The 18,781-nt window shown below is 39.0% G+C and overlaps 1 protein-coding gene across 5 annotated transcripts in view, besides 1 other annotated feature; it reads right to left on the bottom strand.

The window, feature by feature from the left end:
• NNMT (nicotinamide N-methyltransferase) overlaps positions 1–18,781 on the bottom strand; it is a 55,731-nt gene that overhangs the window by 5,554 nt on the left and 31,396 nt on the right. Inside the window, exons 1-3 of one of the 5 annotated variants that reach the window (NM_001372046.1) lie at positions 12,778–12,833; positions 11,273–11,552; positions 9,825–10,032 (exon numbers count right to left, since the gene is read on the bottom strand). In NM_001372046.1, coding sequence (NP_001358975.1) covers positions 9,825–10,032; positions 11,273–11,426 — 362 coding nt within the window. In that variant the 5' untranslated portion in view covers positions 11,427–11,552; positions 12,778–12,833. Of the gene's footprint in view, positions 1–9,824; positions 10,033–11,272; positions 11,585–12,594; positions 12,647–12,777; positions 12,834–18,781 lie in introns of those variants that run through there. The other 4 variants (NM_001372045.1, NM_001372047.1, NM_006169.3 and 1 more) reach the window with 4 other exon arrangements.
• Positions 11,608–12,108: an enhancer, noted in NCBI's record as "H3K27ac hESC enhancer chr11:114166597-114167097 (GRCh37/hg19 assembly coordinates)". NCBI's record gives its function as "activates a minimal SCP1, AML or CMV promoter by ChIP-STARR-seq in primed H9 embryonic stem cells {active_cell/tissue: H9 hESC(primed)}" and the evidence as "EXISTENCE:reporter gene assay evidence [ECO:0000049][PMID:30033119]".

The raw sequence follows: 18,781 nt of genomic DNA, 5'->3' as shown, positions 1-18,781 counted from the left end.
ACCCAGTGATCACTCATAGGAGTGGAAATTAAAACTGACAAATGCAAGGAAGGAAAGGAGCATGGCACTAATGGGGAGATGTTGGGAGCTCCCCTTGACCTAGAGGATCAGGAAAAGCTCCTCCAAAAAGGAGTCGGGCAAGCAGAGATATAGAGGATAAATACGTAGGAGTTAACCAGACTGAAGCAAGCAGGGAGGGCGGGAGGAAATTCCAGTAAGAGGAAACCGCAAGTGCAAAGGCCACGTGGTGGCAGGAAACACAGGAGGAGAGAGCCAACGTGGCTGGATTGTGGGGAAATAGGTTGGCAGAGCCAGACTAGGCAGGGCTTTGTGGACCATGACAGGAATTTTGCTTTTCATTCCAAAAGCTCTGGAGAGTCACTAGGGAGCACTAAGGAGGAGAGTGACATGATCAGATTTACATTTTGAGAGGGTCACTTGGGCTGCAGAACAGAGAAGAATTGAGTGGAGGGGCAAGAGTGGAAGTGGGAGGCCAGTCAGGAGGGAGACAGGGGTAGCTGAGACCAGGTGATGGTAAACACGGGAAGAAATGGGTTACAGAGGAAGTCAGGAAGTAAAATGGACAGAGCTTGATGTTAAGTTAGATATGGAACATGACAGAGAGGGAAAGGACAAATTGACTTCCAGGTTCTGGCTTGTCCAATTTATTATATGATGGTGCCATTCAAGGAGCTAAGAATACCAGAAATAAAGCAGATCTGGAGCAGATGGTAGCTCTGTTTTGGACACACTGAGTTTGAAGTGCTCTGAGACCTGTGAGTAGAAATGTTTACAATTGAGGAAATAGCTAGTTGAAGGTTTCTTAACCTGCCCTGTGAATTTTCCTGGGGAGATAAGGTGGCAAGAGCACCTATTTAAGAGAGAGGCATCCTTGTAAAAGGCGGGAATGTTTCCTAGGTATCACTGAAACAATCATCATGATCATCAAGATCCTGGTTTTGAAAAAGCTTATCAATATCCTTTTGCAAGCTGTGAAAGTCCAGAGATGCTTTGGAATAGAAGTGGTTCACTAGTTTGTGGAACACATTTGGCACAACTGTGTCTATTTTTGGACAACATACAAACATCTTTTTAAATAGAAATGGAGGTCTTTGCACAGAGAGCATTTACCTCAGAGAACTGCCACCTCGACAGGGGCCTAAGCTTTCTTCTGTCAGGTATGCTGAGGTTAAGAGGAGCACACTACCTGACTTCAAACTGTACTACAAGGCTACAGTAACCAAAACAGCATGGTACTGGTACCAAAACAGAAATGTAGAACAATGGAACAGAACAGAGCCCTCAGAAATAATACCACACATCTACAACCATCTCATCTTTGACAAACCTGACAAAAACAAGAAATAGGGAAAGGATTCCCTATTTAATAAATGGTGCTGGGAAAACTGGCTAGCCATATGTAGAAAGTTGAAACTGGATCCCTTCCTTACACCTTATGCAAAAATTAATTCAAGATGGATTAAAGACTTAAATGTTAGATCTAAAACCATAAAAACCCTAGAAGAAAACCTAGGGAATACCATTCAGGCCATAGGCATGGGCAAGGACTTCATGTCTAAAACACCAAAAGCAATAGCAACAAAAGCCAAAATTAACAAATGAGATCTAATTAAATTAAAGAGCTTCTGCCAGCAAAAGAAACTAGCATCAGAGTGAACAGGCAACCTACAGAATGGGAGAGAAATTTTACAATCTACCCATCTGACAAAGGGCTAATATCCAGAATCTACAAAGAACTTAAACAAATTTACAAGAAAAAATCAAACAACCCCATCAAAAAGTGGGCAAAGGATATGAACAGACACTTCTCAAAAGAAGACATTTATGCAGCCAACAGACACATGAAAAAATGCTCATCATCACTGGTCATCAGAGAAATGCAAATCAAAACCACAATGAGACACCATCTCACACCACTTAGAATGGTGATCATTAAAAAGTCAGGAAACAACAGGTGCTGGAGAGGATGTGGAGAAATAGGAACACTTTTACATTGTTGGTGGGACTGTAAACTAGTTCAACCATTGTGGAAGTCAGTGTGGTGATTCCTCAGGGATCTAGAACTAGAAATACCATTTGACCCAGCCATCCCATTACTGGGTATATACCCAAAGGATTATAAATCATGCTGCTATAAAGACACATGCACACATATGTTTATTGTGGCACTATTCACAATAGCAAAGACTTGGAACCAACCCAAATGTCCAACAATGATAGACTGGATTAAGAAAATGTGGCACATATACACCATGGAATACTATGCAGCCATAAAAAATGATGAGTTCATGTCCTTTGTAGGGACATGGATGAAGCTGGAAACCATCATTCTGAGCAAACTATCTCAAGGACAGAAAACCAAACACCACACGTTCTCACTCATAGGTGGGAATTGAACAATGAGAACACTTGGATACAGGGTGGGGAACATCACACACCGGGGCCTGTCGTGGGGTGGGGGGAGGGGGCATGGATAGCATTAGGAGATATACCTAATGTAAATGACGAGTTAATGGGTGCAGCACACCAACATGGCACATGTATACATAAGTAACAAACCTGCACGTTGTGCACATGTACCCTAGAACTTAAAGTATAATAAAAAATTAAAAAAAAAAAAGGAGGAGCCACTCTCTACAGAGGCAACCAGGAGGTGGTCCATGCCCCACCTGCTGTCAAGAGGGCCAAGGAAAACAGCTTGGACAGCATGCCTGCAACTGATTCCCACCCACCTGTGTGTGTGCCCTGGCACACCTAGAGGGAAGCCCTGCTCCAGACACCAGTGCTTCTTCTACTGTAATGTGCATACCACCCTTAGCAGATCTTACAGTGAAGGTTCTGATTCTGTAGGTAGCTAGTGGGGCCTGACAGCCTGCATTTCTAAAAGCTCCCACGTGTTGTCAAACTACTAGTCCAGGGACCACAAGCCTAAGCTATGCATTCCAAGTTCCAGGAACCATAGGTTAAGTAATGCAGCTTCTACAATTTCTTAAGGAAAGAGCTCATTTTCCTCTGTTCATTGTATAAGCTTGAGTAATTGTATCTTAGTGTTTGACTTTCTTAAAACTTTTTTGGATAGTTGTAAAAATGAGGGTTATTTATTTTTATTATTATTTTTTATTATTTTTGAGACAGAGTGTCACTCTGCCAGCCAGTCTGGAATGTGACCACAGCTCACTGCAGCCTCGATCTCCCAAGCTCAAGTGATCCTCTCTCCTCAGCCTCCCCAGTAGCTGGGAATACGGGTGTGCACCACTATGGCCAGCTAATTTAAAATGAGTGGTATTTAAATGCAGAGGTAGAAGAACAGGAGACAGTACATACGTCTTTGGCAGCCTTTAGCACAAGAAAAAACTTCAGATAAAGAAGAAATCATCTTGAAGGAAATAGGTTGTAGGTTGATAAAGCTACTTGAAGATGCAGGAAAGACATGAGTTGCATAGGATCATTATCATTCTTAAAATAATTAAAGCCACAGGATCTAGCACAAGGATAAGGATAAGAATGCAGAAATTTACTGCCAAAAATGCAATGTCCAACAGAGTGATTGGGAGGGGACAGTGTCTCAAGAGCTAGTTGTTCCAAGCTGACATTTCAGGTGTGAGATAAGTAATGCTTTTACTATCCTGCTAGATTGTAAGGGTTTATTTTTGAATGAGATGGAAAGGCCGGTGGTGGATACAGAAAGTGAGAACAAAGTTTCAAAGGCCTTCTTGACAGATGATTTGGACTTTGGCAAGGTGTGTTGTCTAACAGTGACTGAAGATTTATTTACTTATTACAAAGTTTCCCTGAGATTCTACAAACCCTGGGAATTTCCTTATTTACTAAATAACTTTAGATATTGTCCAAATTGTCATAGCTGCAATTGTTTCTAGTTAATATCAATTTCATTCTGTAGAATCACATAGTCAACAGAAAAAAAAGGTGTATGAAATTATTTTTATATTGAAGAATATAGCCCCACTTTGAAGGCTATAGCCAATATAAAATTCTAAGTCAGGGGTATACAGGTTAAAATGCATATGAAAATAGGCTCTCACCGGCCTGGGCAACAGAGCAAAACTCCCATCTCTACAAAAAATTAGCCAGCTATGGCAGTGTGGACCTGTAGTCCCAGCTACTCAGGAGGCTAAGGTGGGAAATCACCTGAGCCCAGGAGGTCAAGGCTACAGTGAGATCTCACCACTGCACCCCAGTGTGGGTGACAGAGCAAGACCCTGTCTAAAAAAAATAGAATAGCCTCTCTCAACTTCTTACTACATGTCAGAAAAAAAGTGGGGCAATATTTAAACAATTTTATGATTTTGTTCATGTGTAAGAGTGACAAAATACATTCTCATATATGCATGGACTTAGAAAACACGTCACTGTATGTTCCTCTTGAAATAAATATTTGAAGATCTATTCAGTTGACAGATGAACCAAAATTAAAGACTCAATATCTAGAAAAATTGTATAAAATGAGCACCAAATATGTCCAAATAATTCTAAATTTGATTACAAACCAAAAGCAAATGTCCAAACTGATCTTGAAAGAAAATATAAAAATAATACTTTAAATTACAATATTTGAACTTTAAAATCTCAGATTTCAATAATAAATACTGGTAAGAGAGATGCCAGGGGACTTTGGTTATCAAAAATTGTTAAATTCCTCAAGTTAGCAGGGAGGAAAACAATTACTAACTTTTTACCCGACTTGATAAGTTAAGAGAATTTGTCTCCAGCAGAACTGCATTATAACTAATACTAAAATAAGTTCTTCAGGTGAAGGAAAATGATGCCAAACAGAAGAACAGATCTTGGGAAAGGAATGAAAAACACTAGAGAAGAAAGATATGTGGGTAAATATAAAAGATCTTAAATATATGCATAATATAGCCTTAGTTAGTTTGGGCTCCTGTAACAGAATACCATAGACTGGGTGGCTCATAAACAACAGAAATTTATTTCCTACAATTCTAAAGGCTGGAAGTCTGAGATTAGGATGCCAGCCTGGTCAGGGTCTGATGAGGACTCTTCTGGGCCACAGACAGCTGACTTCTCATTGTACCTTTATATGGCAGAAGGAGAGCTAGAGAGCTCTATGGGGTTCCTTTTATAAGGGCACTAATCCCATTCATGAAGTCTCCACCTCCATGACCTAATGACCTTTCAAAGCCCCGACCTCTTAATACCATCATAAGGGGGTTAGGATTTCAACACAGAAATTGGGAGGGAGGGATAAAAACATTCAGTCCAAAATTCCTATGTTTAATATATATTGTTATATACATTGTTTAAAACTGTATACTGACTTATGTGACTATACTTAACACTATTCAACTAACACTTAAACATAGTAAAGATGGTAAATTTTATTTTAAAAATCAAAATTAAAAATAAGACAATAAAAATAAATAAAATCACTACTAACTAAAGCAAAACTAATAACAATATATGTATTATAGTGTTATACATAGAAATAAAATACATGACAAGAACATAAGGGCCAGGAAAGTCGGTTAAGGAAATTACACTTTTGGAATATCTTACATCCTTCATGAGACAATAGATATGTCAAGGATGCATATTGCAATTCCTAGAAAAACCACACAAACTCACACAAGACACAGAAGAGGTTAACAGGGGAGATAAAAAATAAATACTAAAAATATGTACACTTATACTAAATGGAATACTAAAAATTACTGCATTCACCAAGGGAAAACAGGAAGAAAGACACAGGTGAACAACAATCAGATGGGACAGATAGAAATCATATACCAAGATGGTAGATTTAAATTCAACCCTGTAATATTAGTAATTACATTAAATGTAAATGGACTAAACAATCCAGTTAGAGGCAGAAATTGTCAGTCTGGATTAAAAAGAGAAAACATAATCTGAAAACAGAAGGGTAGAAAAAGATATGTAGATATATCATGTATATTAGTTATATGTAACTGCAGGATAAATTATCCCCAAAATTTAGCAGCTAAAAATGACAAACACTTATTTCTCTGTTTTTTCTGGTTCAACTGGGGGAAATTTGGTTCCAAGCTCACTCCCCAGGACAAGAGAGTGAGATAGAGACAGAATACCCAATAAAAAGCTGTCATTTTTTAAAAATTGATTTTGTTTTTTACAGCAATATTAGGTTCACCGCAAAATCAAGCAGAAGGCCTACATTGGCATACCATTATCACCCAAAGTCTGTAATCTACGTTAAGATTCACTCTTGGTATTGTACATTCCATGGATTTGGACAAATATATAATGACATGTGTCCACCATTATAGTACTGTACAGAGTAGTCTCACTGCTCTAAAAAATCCTCTATACTCCACCTATTTATCTCTCCCTCCCCGACCCCTAGCAACCACTTATCTTCTTTACTTCTTCCCTAGTTTTGCATTTTCCAGAATGTCATATAGTTGGAATCATACATGTAGCCTTTTAAGATTGGCTTCTTTCAATTAGTAATTGTATTTACATTTCCTCCATGTCTTTTCGTGGCTTGATAGCTCATTTCTTTTTAGCACTGGATATTATTCCATTGTCTAAATGTACCACAGTTTATTTATTCATTCGCTTACTGAAAGACATCTTGGTTGCTTCCAATTTTTGGCAATTATGAATATAGCTACTATAAACATCTGTGTGCAGCTTTTTGTGTAGACATACCACAGCTTTTTGGGTTACATACTGAGGAGTGTAATACATGCAGCTTTCTGGGTTACATACCAAGGAGTGCAACTGCTAGATTGAATAGTTTTGCAAGGAATAGTCGAATTGTCTTCCAAAATGGCTACACCATTTTTAATTCCCACGAACAATAAATAAGAGTTCCTCTTTCCCCACAGCCTCATCAGCATTTGGTGTTGTCAGTCTTCCAGATTCTGGCCTAGATCTAATAGGTGTGTAGTGGTGCTGTAGTCCTTTTAATTTAATATCACAATTGATATCCCATCACTATGCTGCATTCTACCAAACTTGTCAGTACTGAATCACTAAATCCAGTGGATATTCTAGGGAAGGGGATTACACAAAGGTGAAAATACTGACACAAGGATTATTGGGGGCCATCTTAGAGGCTGCCCACCACACCATGCAAAACAGCAAGCATAGGAAGGGTGATGTAGCTATATTAACATCAGAAAAAGTAGACTTCAAGACAAATACATTGCTGGAAATAAAGGGAGATATTTCACAATGGTAAAGTGGTCAGTTCATCAAGAAGACATAACAATCCTAAAAATGTATATAACAGAGCTAAAAACAAGTGTCAAAATGCATATAGCAAATGTTGACAGAACTATAGGGAGCAAAGGATAAATCAACAATCATAGTTTGAGACATTAACACTCTCAGTAATTGACAGAGAAAGTAAACAAAACGTCAGTAAGGATGTAGAAAATTTGAATGATACTATCAACCTGCCTGACTTAATTGATATTTATAGAAACTATATCTACAACTGAACAATATACACTCTTTTCAATGTAGAAAGCACATAGAACGTTTACTGAGATAGACCATATGCAGAGCCACAAAATAAATCTCTGACTACAACAAAATTTAATTTGAAAGCAATAACAATAAGATAGCTAGAAAAATCCCAATACTTTGGAAATTAAGCAACATAATTCTAAATAATTCATGGTCAAAAAAGAAATTACAAAGGAAATGAGACAATATGCTGAATTTGAAAATAATAAAAATACCACATACAAGAATCATGGGATGCAGTTAAAACAGTGCTAAAGGAAATTTGCAGCATTAAATGCCTACATTAGAAAAAGAGATATGTGAAATAAATGATATAAGTTTCCAACTTAAGAAGCTAAAAGAAGAATTAAAAACAAGACATTTTAGAAAGCTAGAAAAAAATAAAGTAAACTAGAAAAGAATTAAAATTAAAATAACTAGAAGAAAGAAAGTGATCAAAAATAAGAGCAGAAAGCAATGAAATAGAAAATGGACAGACAATAGAGAAAAATCAACATAGCCAAAAGTTGGTTTTTGGAAAAGATTAATAAAATGATCAATCTGTAGCAAGGTTGATCAAGACAACAGAAAGAAAACAAGACAAATTACCAATATCAAGAATGAAAGAGGAGAGATCACTACAGATCCTACAGACATAATAAGGTATTAAAAGGATATTGTAAAAAAAAAAAAATGCCAATAAAGTTGACAACCAAGATAAAAAGGACAAACTTCTTGAAAAGTACCACTTACCAAAACAGACAAAAGAACAAACGGAAAATCCAAGTAACCATTAAAGAAATACTGTTTTTAATAAAGTCTTCTCTCGCACAAAAATTTCAGATTCACCTGGCTTCGCTGGTAAATGCTATCAATCATTTAAGAAGGAAATTATACTAATAATACTCAAACTCTTTCAGAAAATAGAAGAGGGGATATCACTCCCAACTCATTTTATGACTCCAGCCAGCATCATGCTGATATCAAAATTTGTGAAGCACACTAGAAGAAAATTATAGCTCAATTATACTTCATGACCAAGTAGTTTATGCCACTTTGGTGTAACATTCAAAATTTTCCAATGTAATTCACATTTTCAGAATACAGGAGGAAAATCATAAGACCATCTTAATAAATGCAAACAAATTTTGACAAAATTCAACATTTGATTAAAATTTCAAAAAAGCTAGGAATGCAGAACTTAGTCTGATAAATAATATCTATGAAAAACCAATAGTTAATATACTTAATGATAAATCATTGAACATTTTTTATCCTAGAATATGGAATAAGGCACAGAGGTCTGCTGTCATCATTTCTATTCAATATTGTATTGAAAGTTTTTGCCAACATAATAAGGGCAGAAAAATAAATAAAAAGCATAAAGTTGGAATAGAAGAACAAAACCTATTTTTATTTGCAGATACTATAATTGCAAACATTCATCTTTTTATGCAGCTTGCAAAGAAGTCTGTGGGGTCTCAGCAATATGCATAGCAGCAGAGAAATGTTGCTCCAGGAGTGAATGGTCAGTTGGGGAACAGACTGGATATTGTCAGACAATCAGCAGAAGATGGAAGTGCATAAGGATATGAGAAAGACAGTGAATTGCAGGCGTGGCTACCTCTGGCTAATAGGCTATTGCCAATTTCTCGTGTTGGAAGAAATTAAAATTTACATGAACAAATGAGATTCATTTGCATAAATTTACATGTAGATGTGGTAGTGTAAGATCTTGACCATTAGTTGTAAGTATACAAAGTCTACTTTCATGGATGGTGATTAATAAATTCTTTTCAAGTAATTCCTTTATGTTTCTTACCTCAGTTTAAAAACCTAGTCAGATTTTGGTTGTATCTGGTGATGTCAGCATTAGCCACACTCACAGCCAAGTTCTATAGGCTTGGATGGCTACAGCAGCATGGCAGTGAGGCAAGGGACAAGCACTGACATCCAAAAGCTGCTGGTGAGAAGCTGGGTTAGCCTTTTACTTGCAGCTGTCCTAAACCTAGGTCCCAAGGTACTTGACTGCACACTGCTCTTGTCCCCAAAGGCCTGGAAAATTTGGGGGTTTACTCCTCTTTGCTCAGTATCCATTTCTTCAACCCTCTCCCTGTGTCTTCCATTACTCTGGTGCACACATGCACGTGCACATACACAAATTTACTAACATGCACACACATGGGCCTATCTCATCTCTCTTGCTCTCGCTCTCTCGTTACCACTCATTCTCCATTTGGATTTCTCTTTGGTCCCTATCTGTCTGTTGCTTTTGCCAACCATCACTCAGGTACCTTCAAAAGCCAAGAAGTAGACACCAGTTTCTCTACCTGTTCCCTTCAAGATCACACACATAGGTCACCACTGGGGACCAGTCAAAGGCCTCTGGCTCTTTCTTCAGCCACTTCTCCAGCTCCTGCAGGTTCTGGTCTGAGTAGTCAGTGACGACGATCTCCTTAAAGGATTCACAAGCAGAGAGGAGCTGATAGATAGTGGGGCCAGAGCCGATGTCAATCAGCAGGTCTCCCTTCACACCGTCTGGATTAGTGGGAGGAACAAAGAGGAGAGATCAGGCATCTCATGGCAGTGGGCAGAGTCAAATTTACATTGTCTTCCCTGGGACTGTGCTGGCGATCCTCAAAGACAGACCACTACTGTTCACAACTTTTCCCTCAAAATGTTTTTTTAAAACATCTTTTCTGGGCCAGGCACAGTGGCTCATGCCTACAGTCCCAATACTCTGGAAGGCCAAGGCAGGAGGATCACTTGAGGCCTGGAGGATGAGACCAGCCTGGACAACATAGTGAGACCTCATCTCTACAAAAAAATTTTAAAATTAGCTAGGCATGGTGGCGTGTGCCTGAAGACCTAGTTATTGGAGAGGCTGAGGCAGAAGGATCCCTTGAGTCCAGGAGTTCGAGACTATGATGAGCTGTGATCACATCCCTGCACTCCATCCAGCCTAGGCAACAGAGTGAGATCTATATCTCCAAAAAAAAAAAAAAAATCCCATATTTTCCCCAAATCCCTGTAATTTACATCATAGTGACAAAGAAAATATAAATATCAAAAAGACTAAAAATGTCTCACTTGAATTTTAAATAAAGCACATCAGTTTGAAAAACCTCAAACTTTAATAAAATTTAAAGTCAAAAAGAAAAAAAAAAAACTTTTCATTTTTTATTCCCCAATCCAGGGTGGAGGCATGTTGCCAGGAATTTTAAGGTCTAGGAGAAGGTAAAAAAGATCTACATCTGGTGTACAGACTGAACACCAGATCCAGAAAGTCTGTTACATGGAGAATGTAAAAACTATTAAGCAATACTTTCAAGGAAAGTTAATTAAAAAAGAAATTGAGTATATAATGTCTTTCTCCAAAAATCACCCAGTTCTTCATATATTGGGAGGTCTTTATCTCATGCATATTCACAGCATTCCCTTGAGTTAGGATCAGAATAGGTACTGTTTTAGAATTTCCACTTAAGTGGCCCTTTGAGGCTAAAAGTCTCCCTCAAGTCGCCTAGCAAATCAAGGTAGACTCAGGACAGCACTCCGGTCCTCTGGTTTCCTTTTGCTTGATCAAGTGAGACAGTGGATACAAAAGCACTTTGTAAACTGTGGAATCGCTATACCAATATTCGTTTTTATCCTAGTTAAATAAATGGGTGATGCCAAAAGGGCTGTGAAGCAACAACGAGAGACACAAAACCCAGTCGTGCCCTGAGACTCCATCTATATGACTCACATTAGTGGGGAGACATGCAGACAACAGACTTACCTAGGCAGAATATCTTGAAAAGATTTTTCAGAAGGTGCTTAAGAATCTGGCTTTCTGCAGAGTGCCTAGAACCAAACTTGTAATATTTTTCTAGGTAATCCCGAGGGTTAAAATGGCTTAGATAGGTGTCCTTGGAGGTGAAGCCTGATTCCATTATGTCTCACTTCTGTACCACTGGAGCACTGCCCTCCTTCTCTTTCCTCCAGAAGCCAGGGAGTGACCCTGCAGAAGTTGTCTTCCTGAGTCTCAGGCTAACAGCATTCCTTCCATCAGTTCAGCCCTTCTTTTAGAACAGATGGTTGGTTAAACACTAACAGAGAAATAGACCACAAATGTTCTGGCTGTTCTAGGAAATGATGAAATTCCCGGAGAAGGGAGCTTAGGCGAACGGGGGTGGAGGGTATGGTAGAGGGAGGGCCATGAGCTGTATGCAATGCTTGCCCAAGGGATGAAGGCCAGCCGCCAGGGATTGTAGACCAGAGGGAGCACTTGAGCTCGTCAGGAAAATTATTTAATGCATAGGACCCCAAAGTTCAGAGAGACAGGACATCCCCTAACAAGCACCATCATTCTTCTCGTTCTTGCCATGAATCTCCCAAGAAAAGGGGTCACGAAGAATGGTTTAAATTTAAACATGTAAAAGAAAGGAAAAAAAAGAAGGGAAAGATGAGGATAGGAAATGTATTCAGGGCTAAGGAATGTTGGCTGAAGAAGGAGTCTCAGATGAAGTCTGGAAAGAGTAATTTTAAAAGCCTGGATAAGGCTTTCTGTAAAATCTAGTCCAGCCAAACATCCCGAGACCCTCTCCTCATGCCCAGACTCTCTCTCCATCCCTGCCCTAGGCAACTGCAGCTTCACCGACCACTGCCATGACCCAGTGTCTGGCAAGCACCTCCTCCCTAAGCTTCCCCACTCCTTTCAGTCAATCCAAATCCTGATAGTTCTTTCAAAGTTAACTTTACTTCCTTTAAGAATTATTTAAGGCCGGGGGCGGAGGCTCATGCCTGTAATCCCAGCACTTTGGGAGGCTAAGGCGGGCAGATCACGAGGTCAGGAGATCGAGACCATCCTGGCTAACATGGTGAAACCCCGTCTCTACTAAAAAAAAAATACAAAAAATTAGCTGGGCTTGGTGGTAGGCACCTGCAGTCCCAGCTACTTGGGAGGCTGAGGCAGGAGAATGGCATGAACCCGGGGGGCGGAGCTTGCAGTGAGCCAAGATGGCGCCACTGCACTCCAGCCTGGGCGACAGAGCAAGACTCTGTCTCAAAAAAAAAAAAAAAAAAAAAAAGAATTCTTTAAATCCCCTTTTCTGAACTCACTTTGAGACAGAGTAGGGATGGGGCTTGGCTTCAGCTCACTCCCCGCTAAAGCATTCTTTCGTGCATTCCCACTGGTCACAAAACCCACACCACTACCTCACTGACAACATGTCCATTAGTCATCCTTTCACTTAATTCCAGGAACTGGCCTTAGGAGATAAACAATGTTGCCGGGTGTCCCACCTTGGGAAGGAATGCTGAATAATTGATTTACAGCCTTGTTGCCACTGGCCAGACCACCAGTTGGCCCATTCCTCAAGATAACCATTGCAACCAAGTAATGCTGACCTGCATACCCCACTTCTCGTATGCTTTGCCCAGCAGCACATCCTGCCTCTGACGTCAATTCCTGTGCTTTGCCTAATAAAAAAATCCCTACCGGTTTTTTCCAAGGAGTCAGCAAGCCAGAGAATTCGCTCTCTCTTTTGTTGTGGCCCTTATGCCAGGGCGTAAGTTCCAGTAAAGCATGTTTGGGAAGACTATTGGCCTTGTGTCAATTTCTATACACTGAGAGCCAAAAAACCCATGGTCAGTAACATTGTGGCCTTAGAATTTATTCTACCCAGCCAGGCACTTGATTTTTTTTTCTTTTTTCTTTTCTCCCTCTCTTTTTTTTTCGGTTGCTATTTATTTTTCTTTTTAAAAACTTTTTGTGGGTACAGAGTAGGTGTATATATTTATGGGTTACATGAGATATTCTGATAGAGGCCTGCAATACAAAATAATCACATCAGGGTAAATGGGGTATCCACCACTTCAAGTACTTATTTTTTGTGTGTTACAAACAACCCAATTATACTTGTCTAGTTATTTTTGAAGGTACAAATAAATTATTTTTTACTATATTCACCCTGTTGTGCTAGCAAATATTAGGTCTTATTCAATCTTTCTAACTTTTTTTTTTTTTTTTTGATGTGGAGTCTCACTCTGTCACCCAGGCTGGAGTGCAGTGACGCGATCTCAGCTCACTGCAACCTTCACCTCTTGGGTTCCAGCGATTCTCCTGCCTCAGCCTCCCAAGCAGCTGGGACTACAGGTGCACACCATCACGCCCAGCTAATTTTTGTATTTTTAGTAGAGACGGGGTTTCATCATATTGGCCAGGCTGGTCTTGAACTCCTCAGGTGTTCCGCCTACCTCGGCCTCCCAAAGTGCTGGGATTACAGGCGTGAGCCACTGCGCCTGGCCTCTAACTATTTTTTATACCCATTAATGATCCCCACATCCCCCCTACCCACCTCGCTACCCTTCCCATCCTCTCGTAACCATCCTTCTACTCTCTATCTCTGTGAGTTCAGTTATTTTAGTTTTTAGCTCCCATAAATAAGTGAGAACATGCAAAGTTTGTCTTTCTGTGCCTGGTTTATTTCACTCAACATTATGACCTCCAGTTCCATCCATGTTATTGCAAATGACAGGATCTAATTCTTCTTTATGACTGAATAGTACTCCATTATGTGTATTACCACATTGTCTTTATCCATTCATCTGCTAATGGACACTTAGAGTACTTCCAAATCTTGGCTATTGTGAACAGTGCTACAATAAACATGGGAGTGCTGATAGCTCTTGGATATACTGATTTCCTTTCCTTTGGGTATATACCTGGCAATAGGATTGCTGTGTCATATGGTAGCTCTATTTTTAATTTTTTGAGGAACATCCAAACCGTTCTCCATAGTGGTTGTACTAATTTACATTCCAACAGTGTACAAGGGTCCCCTTTTCTCCATATCCTTGCCAGCATTTGTTATTGTCTGCCTTTTGGATAAAAGCCATTTTAACTGAGGTGAGATCATATCTCGTAGTTGAGAAATGCAAATCAAAACTATGAGATATGATCTCACCTCAGTTAAAATGGCTTTTATCCAAAAGACAGACAATAACAAATGCTGGCAAGGATATGGAGAAAAGGGGACCCTTGTACACTGTTGGTTGGAGTGCACACAGCTCTATTCTGGCAATTCCAAATGGTAGCCTCTGCCCTTGAACTTAGATCAGTCATTGATCCTGCTCACCAAGTGTGTTGGGGTGGGGAAAGGGAGTAAAGGAAACCTGTGTGGTATTAAGATTGCCCATTGCAAGAAGTTGCATGTGGCAGGCAAATTGTCTCAGATTATTGCAACTGTTGTATCTTCAAATGTCAATTCACAGACCTAGGAGATGTAGAATGGAAGCAGGGTGTCTTTGTGGACTGACCCCAGGCACTGCTGCTGGAGCACAGACACTCCCTGCTTCTGCTGACTGCCCTAGTAATGGAGCACAGCAGGAGACATCCAGAAAGTCCAAAGATGTAAGTTGTTATCCTGGTTTGCTACTAGCAATTTGTAAAATGGACAACTGGAAAAACTAACTTTTGAGACTCTTAAGCCTCAGTTTTGGTGAGTAAAATGGCCTTAACAGTACGTATTTTACTATTCAATCTGAGGTATTGAGGAATTTCAATGATAGCTTTCCTTACATTGAATCCTTACCTTGGGAAATGTGCCTCATTCCCACTCATGGGTCAATTTACCAGGGAATTTTAGACATAGTGGTGATATAGCATATATGTGGCCTTGATATTGTACCCATTTCCCCTCACTCCATCATTAATTTTTTTCTACCCTCTCCAGAAATTTCCAAGATTTACAGTCAGAATCAGATTTTTTATTATAGATAGGAATCTGTTTCCTTGTAATGACCCTCTACCCACCCTTAAATAAATGTTTGTTATAAGTAAATAAATGCACATATAAGGGAAGAAACAAAGGGTGAGAAGGAAGGCAAGAAGAAAGAAAAACATGTTATTTCCATATTGTCTGGGTATTTGGTTCACTGGTGGCTGTTCTTCCCACACGGTCTGCTGGTAAAGAATTTGATTCATCGTCCCAGGCTATGACCTCATGAGAAAATAATGCTACAATACTTAATGCACAAAAAATCAATGTAGTGGGGCATTCTCCTAGAAAATACCTCACTCTAGACTCCAGAGGTGCTACACCAAATCCATTGCTAGAAAATACGATACAAACCAAAAGTGTGAACACCATCATTGCTTATGTTTGCTGGAAGAAAAGATTCCAAATATTGACATATCAGGTTCCAGTAATATGTCTGGCTAACTCTCAAGATACACCCTTTTCCTGAAAGCCTAAAATGCTAAAAAGCTAAACATGCTGATATATAGATATAAAATACCTTGTATATATTAGCAGTAGAGGAGTTTGACAGAATGTTATATGTAATTGAATAGATTTGTAAATAGGAAGATATGCTAAAAAAAAATTATCCAAAATGTAACAGAGGGCAAAAGAGAAATAGAAAAAGTGAAAGAGAAAGCTAAGAGACATCGAGCATAGAGGAGAAAGATCTGCTCTATGTCAGACTGGAGTTTCTGAGAGATAAGAGAGATCAAATGGACTAGAATAATATTTAAACAGATAAAGACAGAGAATTTTCCAGAACTGATGATAAATACTGTATCAGAATCCAGTCAGGAGACAGAAACCCACCTTAAACTTGAGTCAGAAATTATTAATATAAAATTTAGTATAAAGAATTGACTAAGTAAAAAGTGGTTAATGGCTAAGAGAGTAAAGGTGGACTCTGGAGTGTAACAGAGGTGGCAAATGCAGAAACTCACTGGGCTGACAGAACAAGGAAACCAGGAGAAACTTAGAAACTTAGAGGACGAGTCCACAGAACCAAGCATCAAAAAGCTCTGATGAGAAAGCACAGCTGCTGCGGGAATGCTGGACACCTGAGGAACCCAAGGAATGCCACCGCAGAGATGAGCCGTGCATTGAGCCAACAGCTGCATGCAGACAACCATCGCCAAGATTGCTCACAGGATCATAAGCCCACAACCAGACCTCAGAAACAAAACAAAACAAAAACCAAACAAACAAAAAAACAGGACATGGTAAGTCCCTTCCTCCTCCTCAAGCCTTGCATGTCCCTCCAGAATCTCTCACTGGTGGAACCAACATAGAGACACTGGCAAAGGAAAGTTGTGTGTGCAAAATCCAATTTGTAAATCTGTCCAATTTGCAATTGGAGGATAGGCTAAAAGAAATTGTGCAAAATGTAGCAGAGGGAGAAAGGGAAATGGAAAAAATAAAAGAGAAAGCTAAGAGACATAGACTAGCTCTCACACCACAGAGTACAGAAGGGTGGGTTGGAGCTATGAAGGAATGTATTAAGAACTGACACAGACATCAATACACAGAATCCAAAATAGGTAGTATTTATTGAGCACTTATTTGTGCAAGTACTGTTCTATATGTGCTTTACACATATTAACTCATTTAATCATTGTAACAGTCTAGGAAGGACTATGTTTAGAAGTCCAGTGAATCACAAGCAAAATATTTGAAAAGCAATTCCCTCCTAGACATTTTACTGATAAAAAACTGCAACACCAAAGACTACAAAAGATGTTAAAAACATCTAGAGAAAAAACACAAGTGATAGTTACACTAACAGCTGACTTTGCAGGACTAGGAAGCTTGCTAGAAGACAAGAGAATGATATTGTAAATGTGCTAAAACAAAGCAATTGTCAACTTAGAATTCTACAACCAGAAAAAGTCTTTGAAGAATTGGGACAAAATAGAGAAAGTAGCGGGCAAAACTAAAAGCTTGCCACTAGTACGTCCTCTCTAAAGGAAGTTCTAAATGATGAATTTCAGACAGAAGGAATGTGAACCCCAGTGGAAGGTCTGAAATGCAAGAAGGAATGAAGAATTAACTGAGAAGGCCAACATGTGGGTGATTCTAATAGACATAAAAAATAATGCCTTGTGTGGTTAAAAATAAGAAAGATGGAATTAAAGTGGCTGAGCCCTAGTTTTCCACATTAATCCCCCCTGCATCAGATTGCTTGCTTTCCCTGTCTCACTTCCCCATTCCCTCACTGGTGCTTAGTGGGATCCAAAATAAAATACTTACACTCCAATTTTAGACACCACAAAATAATATAATCAAAGTGTATTAACTTCCAAATTAGTAGAGCAGAAGAACTAGAATGACAAAATACTATCAATTCGAAAGAAGATAAGAATGGAGAGAAAAAGAAACAGCTCTTTAAGGACAAATACAAAGCGTAAAATAAGAAGATATTTGGTTGAGGATTAAAAACAGACAAAAGCATCAGTTAAAATATGTATTACATGAACAGCAGGATTAACCAACTTGATTTAATGGACATATACAACATAATGCACCCAAACACCCACTGCTATGATTTGAATGTTTGTTCCCCATCAAATTCATATGTTAAAATCCTAACGCTCAACATAGCAGTATTAGGAGGTGGGGTCTTTTGGGAGGTGGTAGGTCATGAAGGTAGAGGCCTCATGAATGGGATCAGTGCCCTTATGAAATAGGCCCGAGAGAGCTCATTCACCCTTTCACCACATGAGGACACGGTGAGAAAGTGCTATCTACGAAGAAGGAAACAGGCCCTCACCAGACACTGAATCTGCTGGTGCCTCAATCTTGTACTTCCCAGCCTCCAGAACTATGAGAATCAAATCTCTGTTGTTTACAAGCCACCTCGTTTATGGCATTTTGTTAGAGCATCCCAAATGGTCTAAGACACACATTTGTTTCAAGAATACATAGGCCCTTAATAAATTCTTACATACTAGCCCATTAAGCAAGCCTCAACATATTTCAAAGGGCTGAAATGATATAGGGCTTGCTATTTGACCAATGCATTTAAGCTAAAAGTAAAAAATAAAAGATAACTAAAACACCCTTATTTGTTTGGAAATAAAGAAACAAACAACCTATGGGTCAAAGAAGAAATCATAATGGAAATTATAAAATATTTCTAACTGAGTAGTAATAAAAATACTACATATAAAAACTCATGAGTTGCAGCTAAGGCAGGATTTAAAGGGAACTCTAGTCCTCAAATATGCATACTAGTAAAGAAGAAAAACTGAAAGTTAATGAGCTGAGGAAGTTAAGAAAGGAGCAGCAAAATAGACAAAAGTAGAAAGAAGAGAATCCTGCAGAGCACAAAAGCTAAGAATTAATGGGAGAATCAACAGGTCCAAAAGTTGGTTCTCTGAAAAGATAAATACAATTAACAAATTTCTAGCTAGAATGATCAAGGCAAAAAAGAGAGAAGGCTCATATGCCCAGTGTCAGGAATAAAAAGGGGAACCTCATGGCAGATGCTGCAGACATTTAAAAGA

The sequence above is a fragment of the Homo sapiens genome, chromosome 11 (assembly GCF_000001405.40).
Source record: "Homo sapiens chromosome 11, GRCh38.p14 Primary Assembly".
Lineage (NCBI taxonomy): Eukaryota > Metazoa > Chordata > Mammalia > Primates > Hominidae > Homo > Homo sapiens.
Note: the sequence above shows the minus strand (reverse complement) of the source record. Positions and strands in the feature narration are given on the sequence as shown.